This window comes from Homo sapiens, chromosome 5, assembly GCF_000001405.40.
Source record: "Homo sapiens chromosome 5, GRCh38.p14 Primary Assembly".
Lineage (NCBI taxonomy): Eukaryota > Metazoa > Chordata > Mammalia > Primates > Hominidae > Homo > Homo sapiens.
Window position 1 is genome coordinate 177,275,267 of NC_000005.10, and position 17,457 is coordinate 177,292,723.

Here is a 17,457-nt window from a genome sequence, read left to right on the forward strand (position 1 = left end):
ATACTTGCTTTTTTATTTTTAAACTCCTTTCCTCAGGTGTAGTAGACGGTCTTTTATACTTTTTTTAAACGACAATGCAGTACTTTGGGTAATGCCGTAAGAAATCTAAAGTGTGACAGTTTCAGTATTTCATCGTGCTTATATGTGATTCCATTGTGCTTCCCTTGTCTTTTTTTTTTTTTTTTTTTTTTTTTTGAGATGGAGTCGCCCAGGATGGAGTGCAGTGGCACGATCTTGGCTCACTGCAAGCTCTGCCTCCCGGGTTCAAGCCATTCTCCTGCCTCAGCCTCCCGAGTAGCTGGGACTACAGGCGCCCGCCACCACACCGGGCTAATTTTTTGTATTTTTAGTAGAGATGGGGTTTCACCATGTTAGCCAGGATGGTCTCGATCTCCTGACCTCGTGATCGGCCTGCCTTAGCCTCCCAAAGTGCTGGGATTACAGGCGTGAGCCACTGCGCCCGGCCTCCCTTTTCTTATTATTTCTGTCTTCTTTAGCATAGTTGTGAATTATTGATGAGTTAGTAATAATGTGTAATGATGAATTAGTAAGTTGTTACAAGATAGAGGAAAAGTAAGAACACTAAAATTCCATACCGTGTCTTAGATTTAGTCTGATGGACTTACATGGTATTTACAAGACAGAATCAGTTTTGTTCTTTGTTTGTTCCTTTGAGACAGGGTCTCCCTCTGTGACCCAGGCTAGAGTGCATTGCTGCAATTTTGGCTCACTGCAACCTCCGCTTCGTGGGCGCAAGTGATTCTCCTGCCTCCTGCCTCAGTCTCCTAAGTAGCTGGGATTACAGACATGAGCCACCAACGCCTGGCTAATTTTGGTATTTTTTGTAGAGTTGGGGTTTCACCATGTTGCCCAGGCTGGTCCTGAACTCCTCAGCTCAAAGCAATCCACCCACCTCAACCTCCCAAAGAACTGGGATTACAGGCGTGAGCTACGACACTTGGCCTGAATTTTATTCTTTTAAATAAGTATATTTTCTTTTTGAACTTTGGAAGACCTCTAAAAAGGGATAAAAGTCATAAACACTGCTTCTGAAGTCTTTTTTTTTTTTTCCCCCTGAGACAGAGTCTCACTCTGTTGCCCAGGCTGGGGTGCAGTGGCGTGGTCTCAGCTCACTGCAACCTCCATCTCCTGGATTCAGCCCACTCTCCTGCCTCAGCCTCCTGAGTAGCTGGGACTACAGGCATTGTGCCACCACACCTGGCTAATTTTTGTGTTTTTAGTAGAGATGGGGTTTCACCATGTTAGCCAGGCTGGTCTTGAACTCCTGACCTCAGGTGATCTGCCCGCCTCGGTCTCCCAAAGTTGAGCCTCCCACGGTGAGCCACTGTGCCAGGCCCAGTTTTTTTTGCTTTTTTCTCCCCCCCTTTATTAGAGATGATGATTTCACTATGTTGCCTAGGCCGATCTCCTGGCCTCAGGTTGTCTTCCCACGTTGGCCTCCCAAATTACTGGGATTATAGGCATGAGCTGCCACTCCTGGCCTTTAAATTGTTACTTTAAATGTCATAAAATATCCATACCAAGATTAGATTAAAAAAAGAACAAAACGAAAAAAGTCATAAACTGTTAATCCTTACAAATGATTACAACTTCTGAAATTAAGAATTTCAAAACCTATAATTGGATCTAAATGAGTCTCACAATGTATGTGAAAATATATTCTTGGAACATAGTCGTTAGGCCTCAGAAATGGAAAATAATTCTATTCACATAGTCCTGAGGGTCAGATAACAGCAAGGTAGGCATTTTAGAGTTAACATATTAACCATATTGAGCTACTGAGAGAGCAGTTTCCTGTGAGTGATCTCATCAAGAACTTAGAGGCCAACTTCTTTACTCCATTTTTTTTTTTTTTTTTAATAAACATTTCCAGGAAAAGGATCTAGAGCAGGCATTGGCAAACTATGGTTCATGGGCAAATGTGGTCTACTGCCTATTCTTGTAATACTCTTGAACTACAGGTTGTTTTTGTATTTTTTAGTGATTGGCAAAAAAGAGATTTTGTGACACATAAAGATGATATGAAATTCAACTTTCAATCAGTATCCAGAAAATTTTATTGGAATACAGGCATGCTTCTTCATTTACATATTACATATGGCTGCTTTTATATTACAGTGGCAGAGTCGAGCTACATGTGGAGATCTATGGCCTGCAAAGCCTGAAGTGTTTACTTTCTGACCCTTTACAGAAAAAGTTACTTAACTCCTGATCTATAGTGAGATTTACTTAGAATTACATATCCATGTCTTTGTTCTTAACCATGTGGGATTTGTTTTGGTTTGCTTTTGGTTTACGATGTGATAAGTACAAAACTTATTTTTGGATTAATAACAGGTTAGATCAGTTGATAAGAAACAATGATTAAAACATATATTTTCCAGCCTGGGCAACATAGCAAAACCCAGTCTCTACAAAAAATACAAAGAAAAAAAAAAATTTGGGGTGCCTGTTGTCCCAGCTACCTGAATCACCTGAGCCTGGAAAGTCAACGCTGCAGTGAGCTGTGATTGCACTACTGCACTCCAGTCTGGGGGACAGAGTAAGACCCTGTCTCAAAACAAAAACAAATATATATTTGTAGAGAGAAAAGAAGTAGCATGAACCTTTATGTGTATTTGGGAAGGGTTCAAGTAAAAATATTTCGAATCAGAAGTGAATGTTCAAATGCCCTATTCAGGACTTGTAGTCTTGGGTGACTGAGATTAGCTGTTGTTGTCTGTCCCCTTAGAATTTGCCTTAGACATTGTAAGCCTTATGCCTTATGGCTTCCAGTTGCATGTGTTGGGGATATTTCTCCATTAGCAAGAAGTTTCCAAACCTTACCAGTGTTTTGATGAATCTAGGAACAGATCTGGCAGTGAGACCTACATCCATTTTCCCCACGGACAGCATCTTGCTGGAGTGTCTTGCAGGTCTATACGATCCTCCCACTGCAGCTTCCTGAGTAGCTGGAACCTCAAGCACTTGCCACCATGCCCGGCTAAGCTTTATAATTTTTTTGTAGACATAGGGTTTCATTGTGTTGCCTGGTCTGGTCTTGAACTTCTGGGCTCAAACAATCCTCCAGTCTCAGCCTCCGAAAGTGCTGGGATTACAGATGTGAGCCACTGCACCTGGCCTCCTCCTGTTAAATGTTGATAGAAAAATGGTTTGATGGCAGCATATATCCAGATTGTAGATTTCATAATATTAAAGGGGAGTGGGCAAATAATAAAATGCAAGAAATGAAAGCATTTGAAAATTTAGAGGACAGAAATGACTTTTAAGTAAGTGATTTTAGGTGTACTGGAATGAGTAATCTAGAATATTTGATATGAGAGAAACAATCATAAGGGCATTATATAAGAAAGGAAGAAAGAATTTAATATGTCTACCATGTTTAAGAGGCAGCTAGGTGCTGTACTATACATATATTTCTTATTCTTACAATAGTCTTGCAAGTAATTTATTCAAAATCACACAGTTCCTGAACAGTCAAAATTTTTTGTGCGGTTTGTGTCTTAGAAGACTAAATTTGACTGTTCCCACTGAAATAATATGAAATGAGGGGAGATACATTCTCATGCACAAATCCATTATTGTACTGGAACATCTATTGTCTTTCCTTATTGTTGCTAGTATTTGTTAAAACCTCTACATTAATGGCTTTGGTGTCACAATAACTGTTTGACCTTCATGTTTTAACTCACCAAACTTTCACTGTGTTTTTGAGCACTAGCACCACTTCTAAATTAATCCATGAGTGACATTGCTATAGTCCTTTTAAAAGATTTTAAATTATAAGCTGGGTGTGGTGATACCTGCCTGTAGTCCCAACTACTTGTGAGGCTGATGCAGGAAGCATAGAGGAACTCAAATTACACACAGATGATTTCATGCCATTTATTTGCCACTTAAGAACAGTGCTTTTGCCAGGTGTGGTGGCTCACACCTATAATCCCAGCACTTTCAGAGACCGAGGCGGGCAGATCACCTGAGGTCAGGAGATCACAAGGTCAGGAGATCGAGACCAGCCTGGCCAACATAGTGAAACTCCATCTTTCCTAAAAATACAAAAATTAGCCGGGCTTGGTGGTGTGTGCCTATAGTCCCAGCTACCTGGGAGGCTGAGGCAGTAGAATGGCTAGAACCCAGGAGGCAGAGGTTGCAGTCAGCCAAGATCCCGCCACTGCACTGCAGCCTGGGCAACAGAGCTAGACTCCCTCTCAAAAAAAGGAAGGAAGAATAATGCCTATTTTTTTGTAGCAGCAAATGTGACACCAACATGTGGCAATAGCAGAAACCTAGTTTATAGTTCACCTGGCTTATCAGCTTTGAAAATTTTTTTTTTTTTTTTTTTTTTTTTTTTGAGACGGAGTCTCGCCCTGTCACCCAGGCTGGAGTGCAGTCACGCGATCTCTGCAAGCTCCGCTGCCTCCCAGTTTCACACCATTCTCCTGCCTCAGCCTCCTGAGTAGCTGGGACTACAGGTGCCCGCCACCACGCCTGGCTAATTTTTTTGTATTTTGAGTAGAGACGGGGTTTCACCGTGTTAGCCAGGATGGTCTTGATTTCCTGACCTCGTGATCCACCTGCCTCGGCCTCCCAAAGTGCTGGGATTACAGGTGTGAGCCACCAGGCGCGGCTGAAATTATTTTTTAAAATGAATTTCAAAAAAATTTTTAAAGTTCATATTTTATTTTATTTTATTTTATTTTATTTTATTTTATTTTATTTTATTTTATTTTTTGTGACCGAGAGACCGAGTCTCACTCTGTTGCCCAGGCTGGAGTGCAGTGGCACGACCTAGGCTCACTGCAAGCTCAGCCTCCCAAGTAGCTGGGACTACAGGCGCCCACCACCACACCTGTCTAATTTTTTGTATTTTTAGTAGAGACGGGGTTTCACCGTGTTAGCCAGGATGGTCTCAATCTCCTGACCTCGTAATCCACCTGCCTCGGCCTCCCAAAGTGCTGGGATTACAGGCGTGAGCCACCGTACCTGGCTCGTATTTTATTTTTTTGAGATGGAATCTCAACATATCGGCCAGGCTGGAGTGCAGTGGTGAAATCTTGTCTCACTGCAACCTCCGCCTCCTGGGTTCAAGCAATTCTTGTGGAGTTCATATTTTGTATGTCAAGTGAGGCTCTGTTTTTATATGAAACTAAGTGTTGATAGTTCAAAATCATGGGAAATGTGGCTGCAACTTCAAGGAAAAAAAGTTTGCCTTTTTCAGGACGTGAATTGTCTTCTGCTGACTTGTTTTATGCGGTGTACTTTGTGTTACTTTTCCAGGTAAACCGTCCTATTGGCAGGGTACAGATCTTCACTGCAGACTTATCTGAAATACCCCGTTGCAACTGTAAAGCTACTGATGAGAACCCCTGTGGGATAGACTCTGAATGCATCAACCGCATGCTGCTCTATGAGTGCCACCCCACAGTGTGTCCTGCCGGAGGGCGCTGTCAAAACCAGTGCTTTTCCAAGCGCCAATATCCAGAGGTTGAAATTTTCCGCACATTACAGCGGGGTTGGGGTCTACGGACAAAAACAGATATTAAAAAGGTTAGAAAAAGCTAAATTACCATATACTTTCTCCTCTTTGCAGTTGCTTGATATCATTGATCCTTGACATTAGAAAATTCATCATAGAAGAAAATAACACAGTTAATAATTAACCTTATTGTTGTGTCTTGCCATATCCTTCTACCGTTTAGAGGCTTACGAATGGATGGTTTTGATCTCCCAAGTCCTTTGTATTGATCATGGTCACTGTGTAGGAGGTTGGAAAAAATGGGACATTCATAGAGATGCTATGGCTTTGTTTGCTTTTTTGTGAATATCCTACAGCTGGTAATTAAGAGAGATGACAGTGAGCACATGATACAGAGACATTGATCCACCTACTAATAAAACATTTTTAGTGAGGAAAAAACAGGTCTGGCTTCATGAAACATGAAGGATAAGAAGGTTAAGCCTTATTGGATGAAAATGCAGTCATGTCTTCAACTTAAAACTTGGCAGGATCTCTAAGTTTCTAATAAATAAATAATATTGTATAGTCTTTTTTTTTTTTTTAATAAAATAAGCCTTATTCTGGTTACATTTTCTGAAGAATTTTATTGGTTTCCAGGAAATGTAGTGTATATGGGTTGGCGTTTAGTCATTTGCTAAGTAGTTATTTTTATATTTACTGTATGTGCCAGGTATTGTGCTGGGGATGCACTAACCAAGACGAGAGATATGGCCTATACTTTCATAAAATTTACATTTCGGAGGGAGAGAAATATTGAACAAATCATCTCCCAGTGTGAAAGTATAAAGGGCTCTAGAGATGTGTGACAAAGGAACTGAAACTAGTTTGTCTCTGATGATATTATATTTTATTTTATTTATTTTTTGAGAGAGGGTCTCACTCTGTCGCCCAAACTGGAGCGCACTGGTGCCATCTCCGCTCACTGCAACCTTCAACTTCCAGGCTCAAGTGATCCTCCCATCTCAGCCTCCTGAGTAGCAGGGACTACAGGCTCGCATCACCACGCCTGGCTAATTTTTGTATTTTTTGTGGAGGTGAGGTCTAACCATGTTGCCCAGGCTGGACTTAAACTCCTGGGCTCAAATTATCCTCCCAGAGTGTTGGGTTTACAGGCATGAGCCATCACTCTTGACTTGTGAGGCTATTTTAAATTGAGACTTGAAATATAAGTAGCTGTTGACCCAGGCAAGGTGCATTAAAGCCCTGCAGGTTAGGAGTGAACACGTGTGAAAAGCCAGAGTGACTGTAGCATAATGAATAGGGAGGATGGTACTTTGAAATATAGAGCAGAGCAAGCACCAAGGAAGATGAACATAGTTTATTTGGGGAAGCCAATTCTCGGGCTCTGGGGCAGGTAGAGATTGGCCATCCATCTCTCTTTATAAGGACGCTCTAGTTTACTTACTAATCTTCCATTCTGGAGGATCTTTAGTATCCAGTGTATCCTAATCTTTCTGCTGCTGACAGTGGTAGGAGTAAGGAGGTGTTTCTCATTATCAAATAGTTGGGGATCGTAAAGTAATTATGTGTGCCTAAAATTATACTCATGTAATCTGCTTTGTAGAATGTGATGTTTTCATTAATTTTTTAAAAAAATGTATACATTTGGATACCAGTGTCCTTTTTTGCCATTAAGTCAGGAGGTATTTCTTGTTCTAGGGTGAATTTGTGAATGAGTATGTGGGTGAGCTTATAGATGAAGAAGAATGCAGAGCTCGAATTCGCTATGCTCAAGAACATGATATCACTAATTTCTATATGCTCACCCTAGACAAAGTAAGTAATGGGAAATGCTGTTTTCACTGTTACAAGATTGTAAATTTGTGTTGTCCCAGCCATAGTATTTGTAGGCATGTAACGCAGTTCCCAAGGTAGGGTCTTTTCCCATACCCATTGGGATTGCTGGATTGGGGTTCTGGAGTAGGTAAGAGTGCTCATTTTCTGGGTATTCATGGCCAGAGGCAATACAGCAGCTTTTAGCATTGTTTTTGAACAATTCAATGAAAATTGGAGCTTATATCTTTGAGTATTTTTTCTACAGGATTACAAGTTTGAACTCAGAAAAGTACATAATTCTTTTTTATTTTATTTTACAGTTGAGAAAATTGTTAAATATTTAATTATTTTACTGATAAGATTATGTAAATTTTTTTTTAAAATTATTTTGAGACAGAGTCTCGTTCTGTCACCCAGGCTGGAGTACAGTGGCATGATCTCGGCTTGCTGCAACCTCTGCCTCCTGGGTTCAAGCGATTCTTCTGCCTCAGCCTCCCAAGTAGCTGGGACTACAGGCATCCGCCACCACGCCCGGCTAATTTTTGTATTTTTAGTAGAGACAAAGTTTCACCATGTTGGCCAGGCTGGTCTCAAACTCCTGACCTCAGGTGATCTGCCTGCCTCGGACTCCCAAAGTGCTGGGATTACAGGCATGAGCCACCGCACCTGGCCTTAGTTTTTATAATAAAACCCTTTCTTGGTATTTACCTTTGTAAACATTTCTCAAATTGTGCACTAGGATTTGTGAGATCTTCACTTCCAGATATTCTGATCTTACTTTGGGATTGGGACTCCGCATTAGTATTTAAATCTCCTTAGGTGATTTCTAATGTGCATCTGGGTTGAAACTACCTAAATAGAAAGTGGGACAAGCTGCTATTTGTAGGGCAGTGGTCCTCAAACTTCAATGTAGTCAGAAACCCCTGGCAGCCTTGTTATATATAACGCAGAATGCTGCACCCCACAGTCTCTGCTTTAGTGTATTTGAAGCACAACCCAGGAATTTGCATGTCTAACAAATTGCCAAATGGTGATGGTGCTGGTCCAGGGATCACACTTTGAGAACCAAAGTTCTTTGGGATCTTTTCTCTGAGAGGTTCAGTCTTTACAAATAGAAACTCCAACTTATTAGAGAGAATAGTCAAATTTTAATCCACAGCAGAGGTCTCAGGAAGTCTGATGTGTAGCTTCTTTTGGAATTCTAGGACCGAATCATTGATGCTGGTCCCAAAGGAAACTATGCTCGGTTCATGAATCATTGCTGCCAGCCCAACTGTGAAACACAGAAGTGGTCTGTGAATGGAGATACCCGTGTAGGCCTTTTTGCACTAAGTGACATTAAAGCAGGTAAGAATCATTTCAGGATTCTGCAGCTGACATCTGAATTTCAGGGCTTTTGTTTTTTACAAACAGCTTCCTCAGATTATAATTTTAAACATTTCTATATGTACCGTTCTCTGGAATTAAGTTCATTTACATTTTTGTGCAACCATCACCACCATCCGTCTCCAGAACTCTTTTCATCTTCCCCTGCTAAAACTCTATACCTACTAAACACTAAGTCCCCATTCTTCTTTTTCTTCACAGCCCCTGGCAACTACCATTCTACTTTCTGTCTCTGAATTTGACTACTATATGTACTTCATATAAATGGACAATATTTGTCCTTTTCTGACCACCTCATTTCATTCATTCATTGATTCATTTTTAATGTTTAGGGACAGAGCATTGCTCTGTTGCCCAGGCTGCACTACAGTGGCACCATCACAGTTCACTGCAGCCTCAAACTGGGCTCAAGCAATCCTGCTGCCTCAGCCTCCTGAGTAGCTAGGGCTATAGGCACATGTCCCCATTCCCAGGTTTTTTGTTTTTTGTTTTTTTTTTGTAGAGACGGAGTCTTGCCGCTATGTTGCCAAGGCTGGTCTGGAACTCCTGGGCTCAAGTGATCCTCCTGCCTCAGCCTCCCAAGTGCTGGGATTACAGGCATGAGCCACCTCGCTTAGCTTGGCTCATTTCTTTTAGCACAGTGTCTTCGGAACATGGATGGTTTTAATGGAACAAATTTTCACATTCATATGAACTTACCACTAATAGGTTTGCTTTAGAAACTACTAGCTCTTCAGTCTCCTTTCTCACCTTCCTGAAGTTGCTCTTCTTCCACTTTATAAACCAAAGATTGATCTCTCACTCTTCCATATCTTATGGGTTATGGACCCAAGGCTATTTTAAAAATAAACCACTGGGTGTGGTGGTATATGCCTGTAGTCTCGGTTATTCAGGAGGCTGAGGCCAGAAATCGCTTGAGTTCAGGAGTTTGAGAAGCAGCCTGGGTAGTATCGTGAGAACTCTGACTCTTAAAAACACACACACAAAACAACAAAAACCTCTCAACCTCTAGGATGTCAAAGAACAGGATCTTTGGAGAATTCACTGCTCTGTCATGGCTCACCTGGGTGCTTGTCTCTCTAACGGGGTAGCGAGATGGTTGTAACCAGGACAAATAGTAAGAAGCTAATTTGAATCGAAAGTAAATCTGGTATGGCTGAGTGGTTTGACAGTAAAGTTATGTGGTAGATATTTTCCATAAATTAAAGGATCTTAATCTATAGCTTCAAGGTTTTGATACAATTATTTTAAACATATATACCTATGCATGTAACACCCTCCAAATTGCATGCTTTTTTAAGTATTAAAATTTGTGGCTGGGCGCGATGGTTCACGCCTGTAATCCCAGCACTTTGGGAGGCCAACACGGGCAGATCACGAGGTCAGGAGATCGAGACCATCCTGGCTAACATGGTGAAACCCCATCTCTACTGAAAATACAAAAAAATTAGCCGGACGTGGTGGCAGGCGCCTGTAGTCTCAGCTACTCTGGAGGCTGAGGCAGGAGAATGGCGTGAACCCAGGAGGCAGAGCTTGTAGTGAGCCGAGATCGTGCCACTGCACTCTAGCCCGGGCAACAGAGGGAGATTCCATCTCAAAAAAAAAAAAAAAAAAAAAAAATTTGTATAAACGTTGTACATTTTGAAATGTACAAGAAAGTTATGATTTTTCAAATGTAGTTTTGCAAGGATATGAGCAAAACAGTTAAAATCAGCCTCTTATACTCAAACTGGGATAGAACTGGCCTAGGTAGTCTGTAATATACAGTAATATAGTCTAATTACTGTTGAAGCAGAATCCCATTTGAATGTTCTGGAAGACCTTAGTTCTCCTTTGCTCAGTCACTGTTGTCCTCAGGAAGCATTGATCAAGATAAAAGAATTAGAATGATATTTGTTCAGATCTTAGTCTGTTTTTGTGTGTGTTTGTTTGCTTGCTTGTTTGTTGAAACGGAGTCTCGCTCTGTTGCCCAGGCTGGAGTGCAGTGGCATGATCTCGGCTCACTGCAACCTCCACCTCGCGGGTTCAAGCAATTCTCCTGCCTCAGCCTCCTAAGCAGCTGGGATTACAGGCATCCACCACCATGCCCGGCTATTTTTTGGTATTTTTAGTAGAGACTCCTGACCTCAAGTGATCCGCCTACCTCGGCCTCCCAAAGTGCTAGAATTACAGGCATGAGCCACCGCGCCCGGCCTGTGTTTTAAATTTAATCTATGGGACTTCTCACACTCAGTGTACTTTTTTCTCTACAATTTAAATGTGTTGTCCAGGAGTCTTTCAGACTTTTTAGGTTGTGACAATTTTTAGATTTTAAAATTTGAGCCACTAGTTACTTTCGGGTTTTGCGTTTGTTTCTCATAATGTTTTACATGATGACACCAAGGACACTTGAGCATCACTGTGCACTGCACTCTGCTTATTTGAGACTGGTTTTTAGTTGCAGATTTATTTCAAGTTTTTGGAATGGGTGGTTTCAGAGTATATTGTTTAGATTTCTACTTTGTAACAGGAGTAATTCAATAAATGATACGGAATACCAGATACGATTCTAAGCATATTATCTCATTTAAGCCTTGCAAAAGTGCTGTAAAGTAGATGATATTATACCTATGTTACTTTTATCCTTGGATGTCACACCTCTCTCATTCTTTTCTCCCTTTTTCTCTCTAATCGCCCCAGGGGTGGAGAGGTTCCTCTATATTAAATCAATATAAATATAGTTCCTCTATAATAAATCAGTCACATGATTTAGTTCTACTATGTCTGCTGAGTGCTGATAGTCCCATTCTTCTACTTAGAACCTGCAGTTCATGTCCATGGGGATGCCCTCCTCTGCCATGTCTAGCCACAAATTTCTCTTCTTTTTTTCCTGTGTTCATCAGCTCAGGTAGCTTGGTGTTGAAATTCTCAGACTCTTCCTCTCCTCACTTGACTTTCAGTCTGCATAGGTTCAGGATGGGGAAAATGAGACAGGATGTGCTAAGGGACAGGCAGAGTGCCTATCAGAGCTGAGGCCTTCATTCAACTTCCTGGGCCCTTCACATACCTGCAACTTACTGTCTCCCAAGTGTCCCATCCCTACTCTTGTTTATCTCTTCTCTCATGCTCTTTGCCATGCCCAGTAACTGAAGATCCATCAATGATTGCTGCATATTGAACTCTTTTCTAGAATGGTATCACTGTTTAGTTTATGAGCACTGATACTTTCTGATTTAATTTAGCCTCTCTGTGATTACACTTACATAGTATATGTTCAGTGAGCAGCAAGTTATGACAAGTATCCTGCTTTCTTTTATTTGTGTATAAGGTACAGTTGTATTATAAGCACATCGTATCTATAAAATTTTAGTTATCTATCCATAAATCTTTTATTAAGAAAAAGACAGTGTGGGGCTGGGCGCAGTGGCTCACGCCTATAATCCCAACACTTTGGGAGGCCAAGGTGGGAGGATCACTTCAGGAGTTTGAGACCAGCATGGCTAACATGGTGAAACACCGTCTCTACTAAAAATACAAAAACTAGCTGGGCGTGGTGGCAGGCGCCTGTAATCCCAGCTACTCAGGAGGCTGAAGCAGGAGAATAGCTTGAACCCAGGAGGCGGAGGCTGCAGTGAGCCGGGATCTCACCACCTTACTCCAGCCTGGGCAACAGAGTGAGACTCCGTCTCAAAGAAAGAAAAAGAAAAAAGAAAAAAAAACAGTGTGAATAGAACCACGAAAGATTCAATCCAGTTAAGTTCAGGCATGAGATGGGAAACATGACCCTCCCGTTAACATTGGTGAGTCTCACTCAGTTCCTGCAAGCTCCTTATGGCATGAGCCTCATCAGGCCGTGGATAATTCTGCTACTCCTACAGCATGACCCTAACGTAGCTGCTGGTATTGTGAACATACTTGATAAAGAAATAGTGATAAGAATGATTTCCTTTAACATTCGATGAAAAACTATGTATAGCAGTCTCACTGATAAAAGGTATGTCAGTCTGCAAAGGGAAATCTTCCTAAGAATTGACAGTTTTTAATATGAATGATGGTTACCTTATACATTAACTGTAAACATTACCCCTGTGATAGGCAACCTCTTCACATATTTATGTAAAATTCTTATATTTGGTAGGCCTCCCATAACTGGCTTTTAGTTATGAGTTTTGAGTTTGAATGTTTATTTCCTCTCACAGTTTTGGTGAAATGGACCTTTGACAGAAAGAGAGAAAGAGGACAGTTTGCCTGTTAATTTGAGTACCTTTTTTTAAAGTTTACACGTTACTGCTATGTGCATTTTGTCATATTGTCTCAATAAGCTTGTCAGATTTCTCCATTTTAAAATGGGCTGCTCAGGATTCAGATTACCCTGCTAAGTCTGTGACGTAGCTGGATCTACAACCAGTCTGTAATCTACAGATTTCTAGTGTTATTCTGTACTGAGATGCCTCTCCAGAGTGCTGCCAGGTAACATGTGTTCACCTGAGAACAGACAAACAGGTTTTCCTCATACTTGTATTCCCAGGGCCTGACACATTGATAAGTTGTTTTTTGTTTGTTTTGGTAATGAATTAACATATTTTGAATCTGAATGGTTAATAAACAAATGAAAAACAACTTGAGGTAATTAACACCTCTGGAGGAAGAGTTATCTTAAATATTACTTGTTAAGCCATTTAAGTTTTCTCTGTTAAATTGTATTACCTGATTATTAATGTTATAAGATTAGAATTAATTAAAATATAGGATTAGAGCTAAATTCTTTTTAAAATTAATCTGTTCTCTTGGGAGTTGGTATCCTTTGTAATTAATACAGAAATAATGTAATTAAAACCATAGATATTAATATTTTCACGGTCTCTTATGCAGGCACTGAACTTACCTTCAACTACAACCTAGAATGTCTTGGGAATGGAAAGACTGTTTGCAAATGTGGAGCCCCGAACTGCAGTGGCTTCTTGGGTGTAAGGCCAAAGGTACCACCCTTCTAGACTTCTGCTTTGGGATTAGTGGTGCGGTCCTCCCTCCCTAACAGTGTTAGGGCAGTCTACATTTTAAGAAGAAATCTCTTTGAAATTAATGACATTCAGCCAGGCATGGTGGCTCATGCCTGTAATCCCAGCACTTTGGGAGGCTGAGGTGGGCGGATCACCTGAGGTCAGGAGTTCGAGACCAGCCTGGCCAACATGATGAAACCCCATCTCTAATAAGAATAGAAAAATTAGCTGGGCCGTGGTGGCATGTGCTTGTAGTCCCAGCTACTCAGGAGGCTGAGGCAGGAGAATCCCTTGAACCCAGGAGGCAGAGATTGCAGTGAGCTGAGATCACACCACTGCACTCTAGCCTGGGCAACACAGCAAGACTCCTTCTCAAAAAAAAAAAGAAAAATTCAATGACATTGAATAGGTGTTGATAGGGCCACTTGCAATTCACTAAGCATTCGGCTGATCAATTATATAAGAGGTTTTTGGGGATATTGTTGAAGTGTTTTGGGCCATCTGACTTTAATTGGTGCTACTTTTCTAACTAATAATGCTGTGAAATAGGACCTTATAAAGAAGGTTAGTTACCTCCCTCGTCTTGATCTCACATCTCCTAATAAGCCATATAGATTCTTGGTATATCTGTGTCTGTCCCTGTCTTTCTCTCACTTTCTCTTTCTGAAGATACCAAAAAATCTGCAGTTTAAGCTTCTAAATGTAGCATAACATCATAGATAAAAGTAGAACTCTTAATCTCACCATTATAAAAAAGTATAAGCATTGTTGTGTCTTCCTGTTTTTTTAGTATGCACTTTCTGAATAATTGAATTCTAATTCTGTAACTGTTAAGTATCATTTCCATGTCTATATTCTCCTTATTTTTTTTGTTGTTGTTGTTTTGTGTTTTTTTTTTTGAGGTGGAGTCTCGCTCTGTTGCCCAGGCTGGAGTGCAGTGGCGCAATCTCGGCTCACTGCAAGCTCCGTCTCCCGGGTTCACGCCATTCTCCTGCCTCAGCCTCCTGAGTAGCTGGAACTACAGGCGCCCGCCACCATGCCCGGCTAATTTTTTATATTTTTAGTAGAAACAGGGTTTCACTGTTGTTAGCCAGGTTGGTCTCGATCTCCTGACCTCGTGATCCGCCCGCCTTAGCCTCCCAAAGTGCTGGGATTACAGGCGTGAGCCACTGTGCCCGGCCCTTATATTATTATTTTTTAAAGTCCTTGCTGATCATTTTTAGTGACTGTCTTAATTTTTTTATATAATGGATGGACATACTAGATGAACATCTGGATAATTCAAGATTTCTGTATCATAAGTAACAGCACAGTGAAAATTGCAGTTTAATTTTGATACAAAATAAACTATATAGTGACTTCAATTGAGTATGTTCCATATGCCTTTTTGATTGTGAAGCTCAACATTAAGAACTGAAAAATGCAAATTAACATAGAAGCCAATAAGAAAAGAGTAAATAAATTTTTTTTTTTTTTTTTGAGACGGAGTCTCGCTCTGTTGCCCAGGCTGAAGTGCAATGGTATGATCTCGGCTCACTGTAACCTCCGTCTCCCAGGTTCAAGTGATTCTCCTGCCTCAGCCTCCCAGGTAGCTGGGATTACAGGCCCCTGCCACCACACCTGGCTAATTTTTTGTATTTTTAGTGGAGATGGGGTTTCCCCATGTTGGCCAGGCTGGTCTCAAACTCCTGACCTCAGGTGATCCACCTGCCTCAGCCTCCCAAAGTGCTGGGATTACAGGCGTGAGCCACTGCGCCTGGCCAGAAATGAAGAGCACTCAATGATCATTTTTTAATCTTGTTAAATAAGGAGAATCACCTCTATATTATACTGGATTTTATTGTGCTTTTTGTTTAGTTTTGTTGGTTTAACGGTGTTGTTCCTTAAGATGTTGACTTGTTTCCTATAAATTAAAATAGTAACTCAGTTTAACCTGTACTTAATGGTATTAAGTGTAGTGCGGATGTCAGTTTCAGCATCCTTGATGTCTGCATGGGATAGCATTTCACAGGAGTCAGTCAGAGGTAGATGCTAGAGAGGTCACTGTGTGCTCTTAGTAGATACTGGTCTGTCAGAATAGGGTGGACCTCCATTAAGCCTTACAGATTGGTCCTGGATGTTTCTGGGTTAAAATGAAGAATGTGATAAGATGATTTGGTGACCAAGTGTGGGCTGCAGGGAACAAAGAGAGAACATCTGCTGGCTGCTCCAGGGTCTGCCTTGGGAGTGGTGGACCTGAAGCTAATTTGACTTGATGTGTAGTCTTATTGACGGCAGGGACCATGAATTAACTTTTTTGTGTCTTAACACATTGCTTATAGTAAGTTCAGTTATGCTTTGTTGAATGAACGAGAAATAGGCATGTGTACCCACACACAGAAGTCTAGTTTAGTTCTGAAAGTAGACGAATATAAAAGTGAAACTTTGGCCAGGTGCGGTGGCTCACGCCTGTAATCCTAGCACTTTAGGAGGCCAAAGCGGGTGGGTCACAAGGTCAGGAGTTCGAGACCAGCTTAACCAATATGCTGAAAACCCGTCTCTACTAAAAATACAAAAATTAGCCAGGAGTGGTGGTGGGCGCCTGTAATCCCAGCTACTCAGGAGGCTGAGGCAGGAGAATTGCTTGAACCCAGCAGGCGGAGGTTGCAGTGAGCCGAGATCGCGCCACTGCACTCCAGCCTGGGCAACACAGCAAGACTCCGTCTTGAAAAATAAATAAATTAATTAACTAATAAAACTTATGAAAGGCATGTCATTTAACACCAGCCTTATGGATCAGCAAAAACACAAAGATTTTTGTCTTCTGTTTTGTTCAGGTGGCAGGAGTAGTTGATACAAAAATTATTGCTACGTATCTGTGATGTACCAGGTACCTTTCCTGCATTTTATCTTCATGACAATCTCTTTTCCCAGAGAAGAGAATGAGGCTCAGAGAGGGTAGTTAACCCGGTTAAGATTGGTACTAATGTGTTCACAGAATGCTGACTGTTCAATATCTGACCTGTAGAATCAACCCATTGCCACGGAAGAAAAGTCAAAGAAATTCAAGAAGAAGCAACAGGGAAAGCGCAGGACCCAGGGTGAAATCACAAAGGAGCGAGAAGATGAGTGTTTTAGTTGTGGGGATGCTGGCCAGCTCGTCTCCTGCAAGAAACCAGGCTGCCCAAAAGTTTACCACGCAGACTGTCTCAATCTGACCAAGCGACCAGCAGGTTGGTGCCAAAATCCATTTGTACCGCTACTCGTTCTCTCCATCATACTCAGGGTCTCATGCCATTTGCATCAGCCTTGAAGAAAGTGCCATTTGGTCTTTCCATGCATAATTTTGAGGGGTATGGTCTATTTTCTTATTTTGGAAATAATGAAAGCAAAGGCTTAGAATTCTTAGTTATGAAGAATGGGACAGCGGTGCACTTGCTGTGTTTCAGGTCCTTTACTTACAGTCATGTTTATTTCATTCCCCCAGCAGCCCATAATGGTTGGTTTTCTTCCATAATGCATGTGAAGAAACAGAGTGAGGATTGGGGAGGTGATCTTTCACACATAGATAGAGGAGCTGGATTGAGAGCTGGGTTTTTGACTCCAAGACTATTAAATCATGTTGCCTTTCTAGAGAAAGAAAGATTGAGATAGTAAAGCCTTTAGGTGGTTCTAGTCAGTGAGAGATGGATTGCCACCCTTTTAGCACTTCCTACCTTGCTCCCCTACGCCTAGTGCAGTCTCCCCCCATGCAGAGTAGACTTTTTTCCTCTAAAGGAGATTTGGTTGTATCAGTTA

General features: G+C 41.3%; 1 protein-coding gene across 12 annotated transcripts in view; it reads left to right on the forward strand.

Annotated features, from left to right (window-relative positions):
• Positions 1–17,457, forward strand: part of NSD1 (nuclear receptor binding SET domain protein 1) — a 168,416-nt gene that overhangs the window by 143,469 nt on the left and 7,490 nt on the right. For 11 of the 12 annotated variants that reach the window (NM_001409301.1, NM_001409304.1, NM_001409305.1 and 8 more), the window contains 5 exons: positions 5,299–5,568; positions 7,199–7,315; positions 8,521–8,662; positions 13,553–13,659; positions 16,688–16,892. In NM_001409301.1, the coding sequence (NP_001396230.1) occupies positions 5,299–5,568; positions 7,199–7,315; positions 8,521–8,662; positions 13,553–13,659; positions 16,688–16,892 (841 nt within the window). The remainder of the gene's footprint in view (positions 1–5,298; positions 5,569–7,198; positions 7,316–8,520; positions 8,663–13,552; positions 13,660–16,687; positions 16,893–17,457) is intronic. The other variant, NM_001409309.1, reaches the window with a different exon arrangement.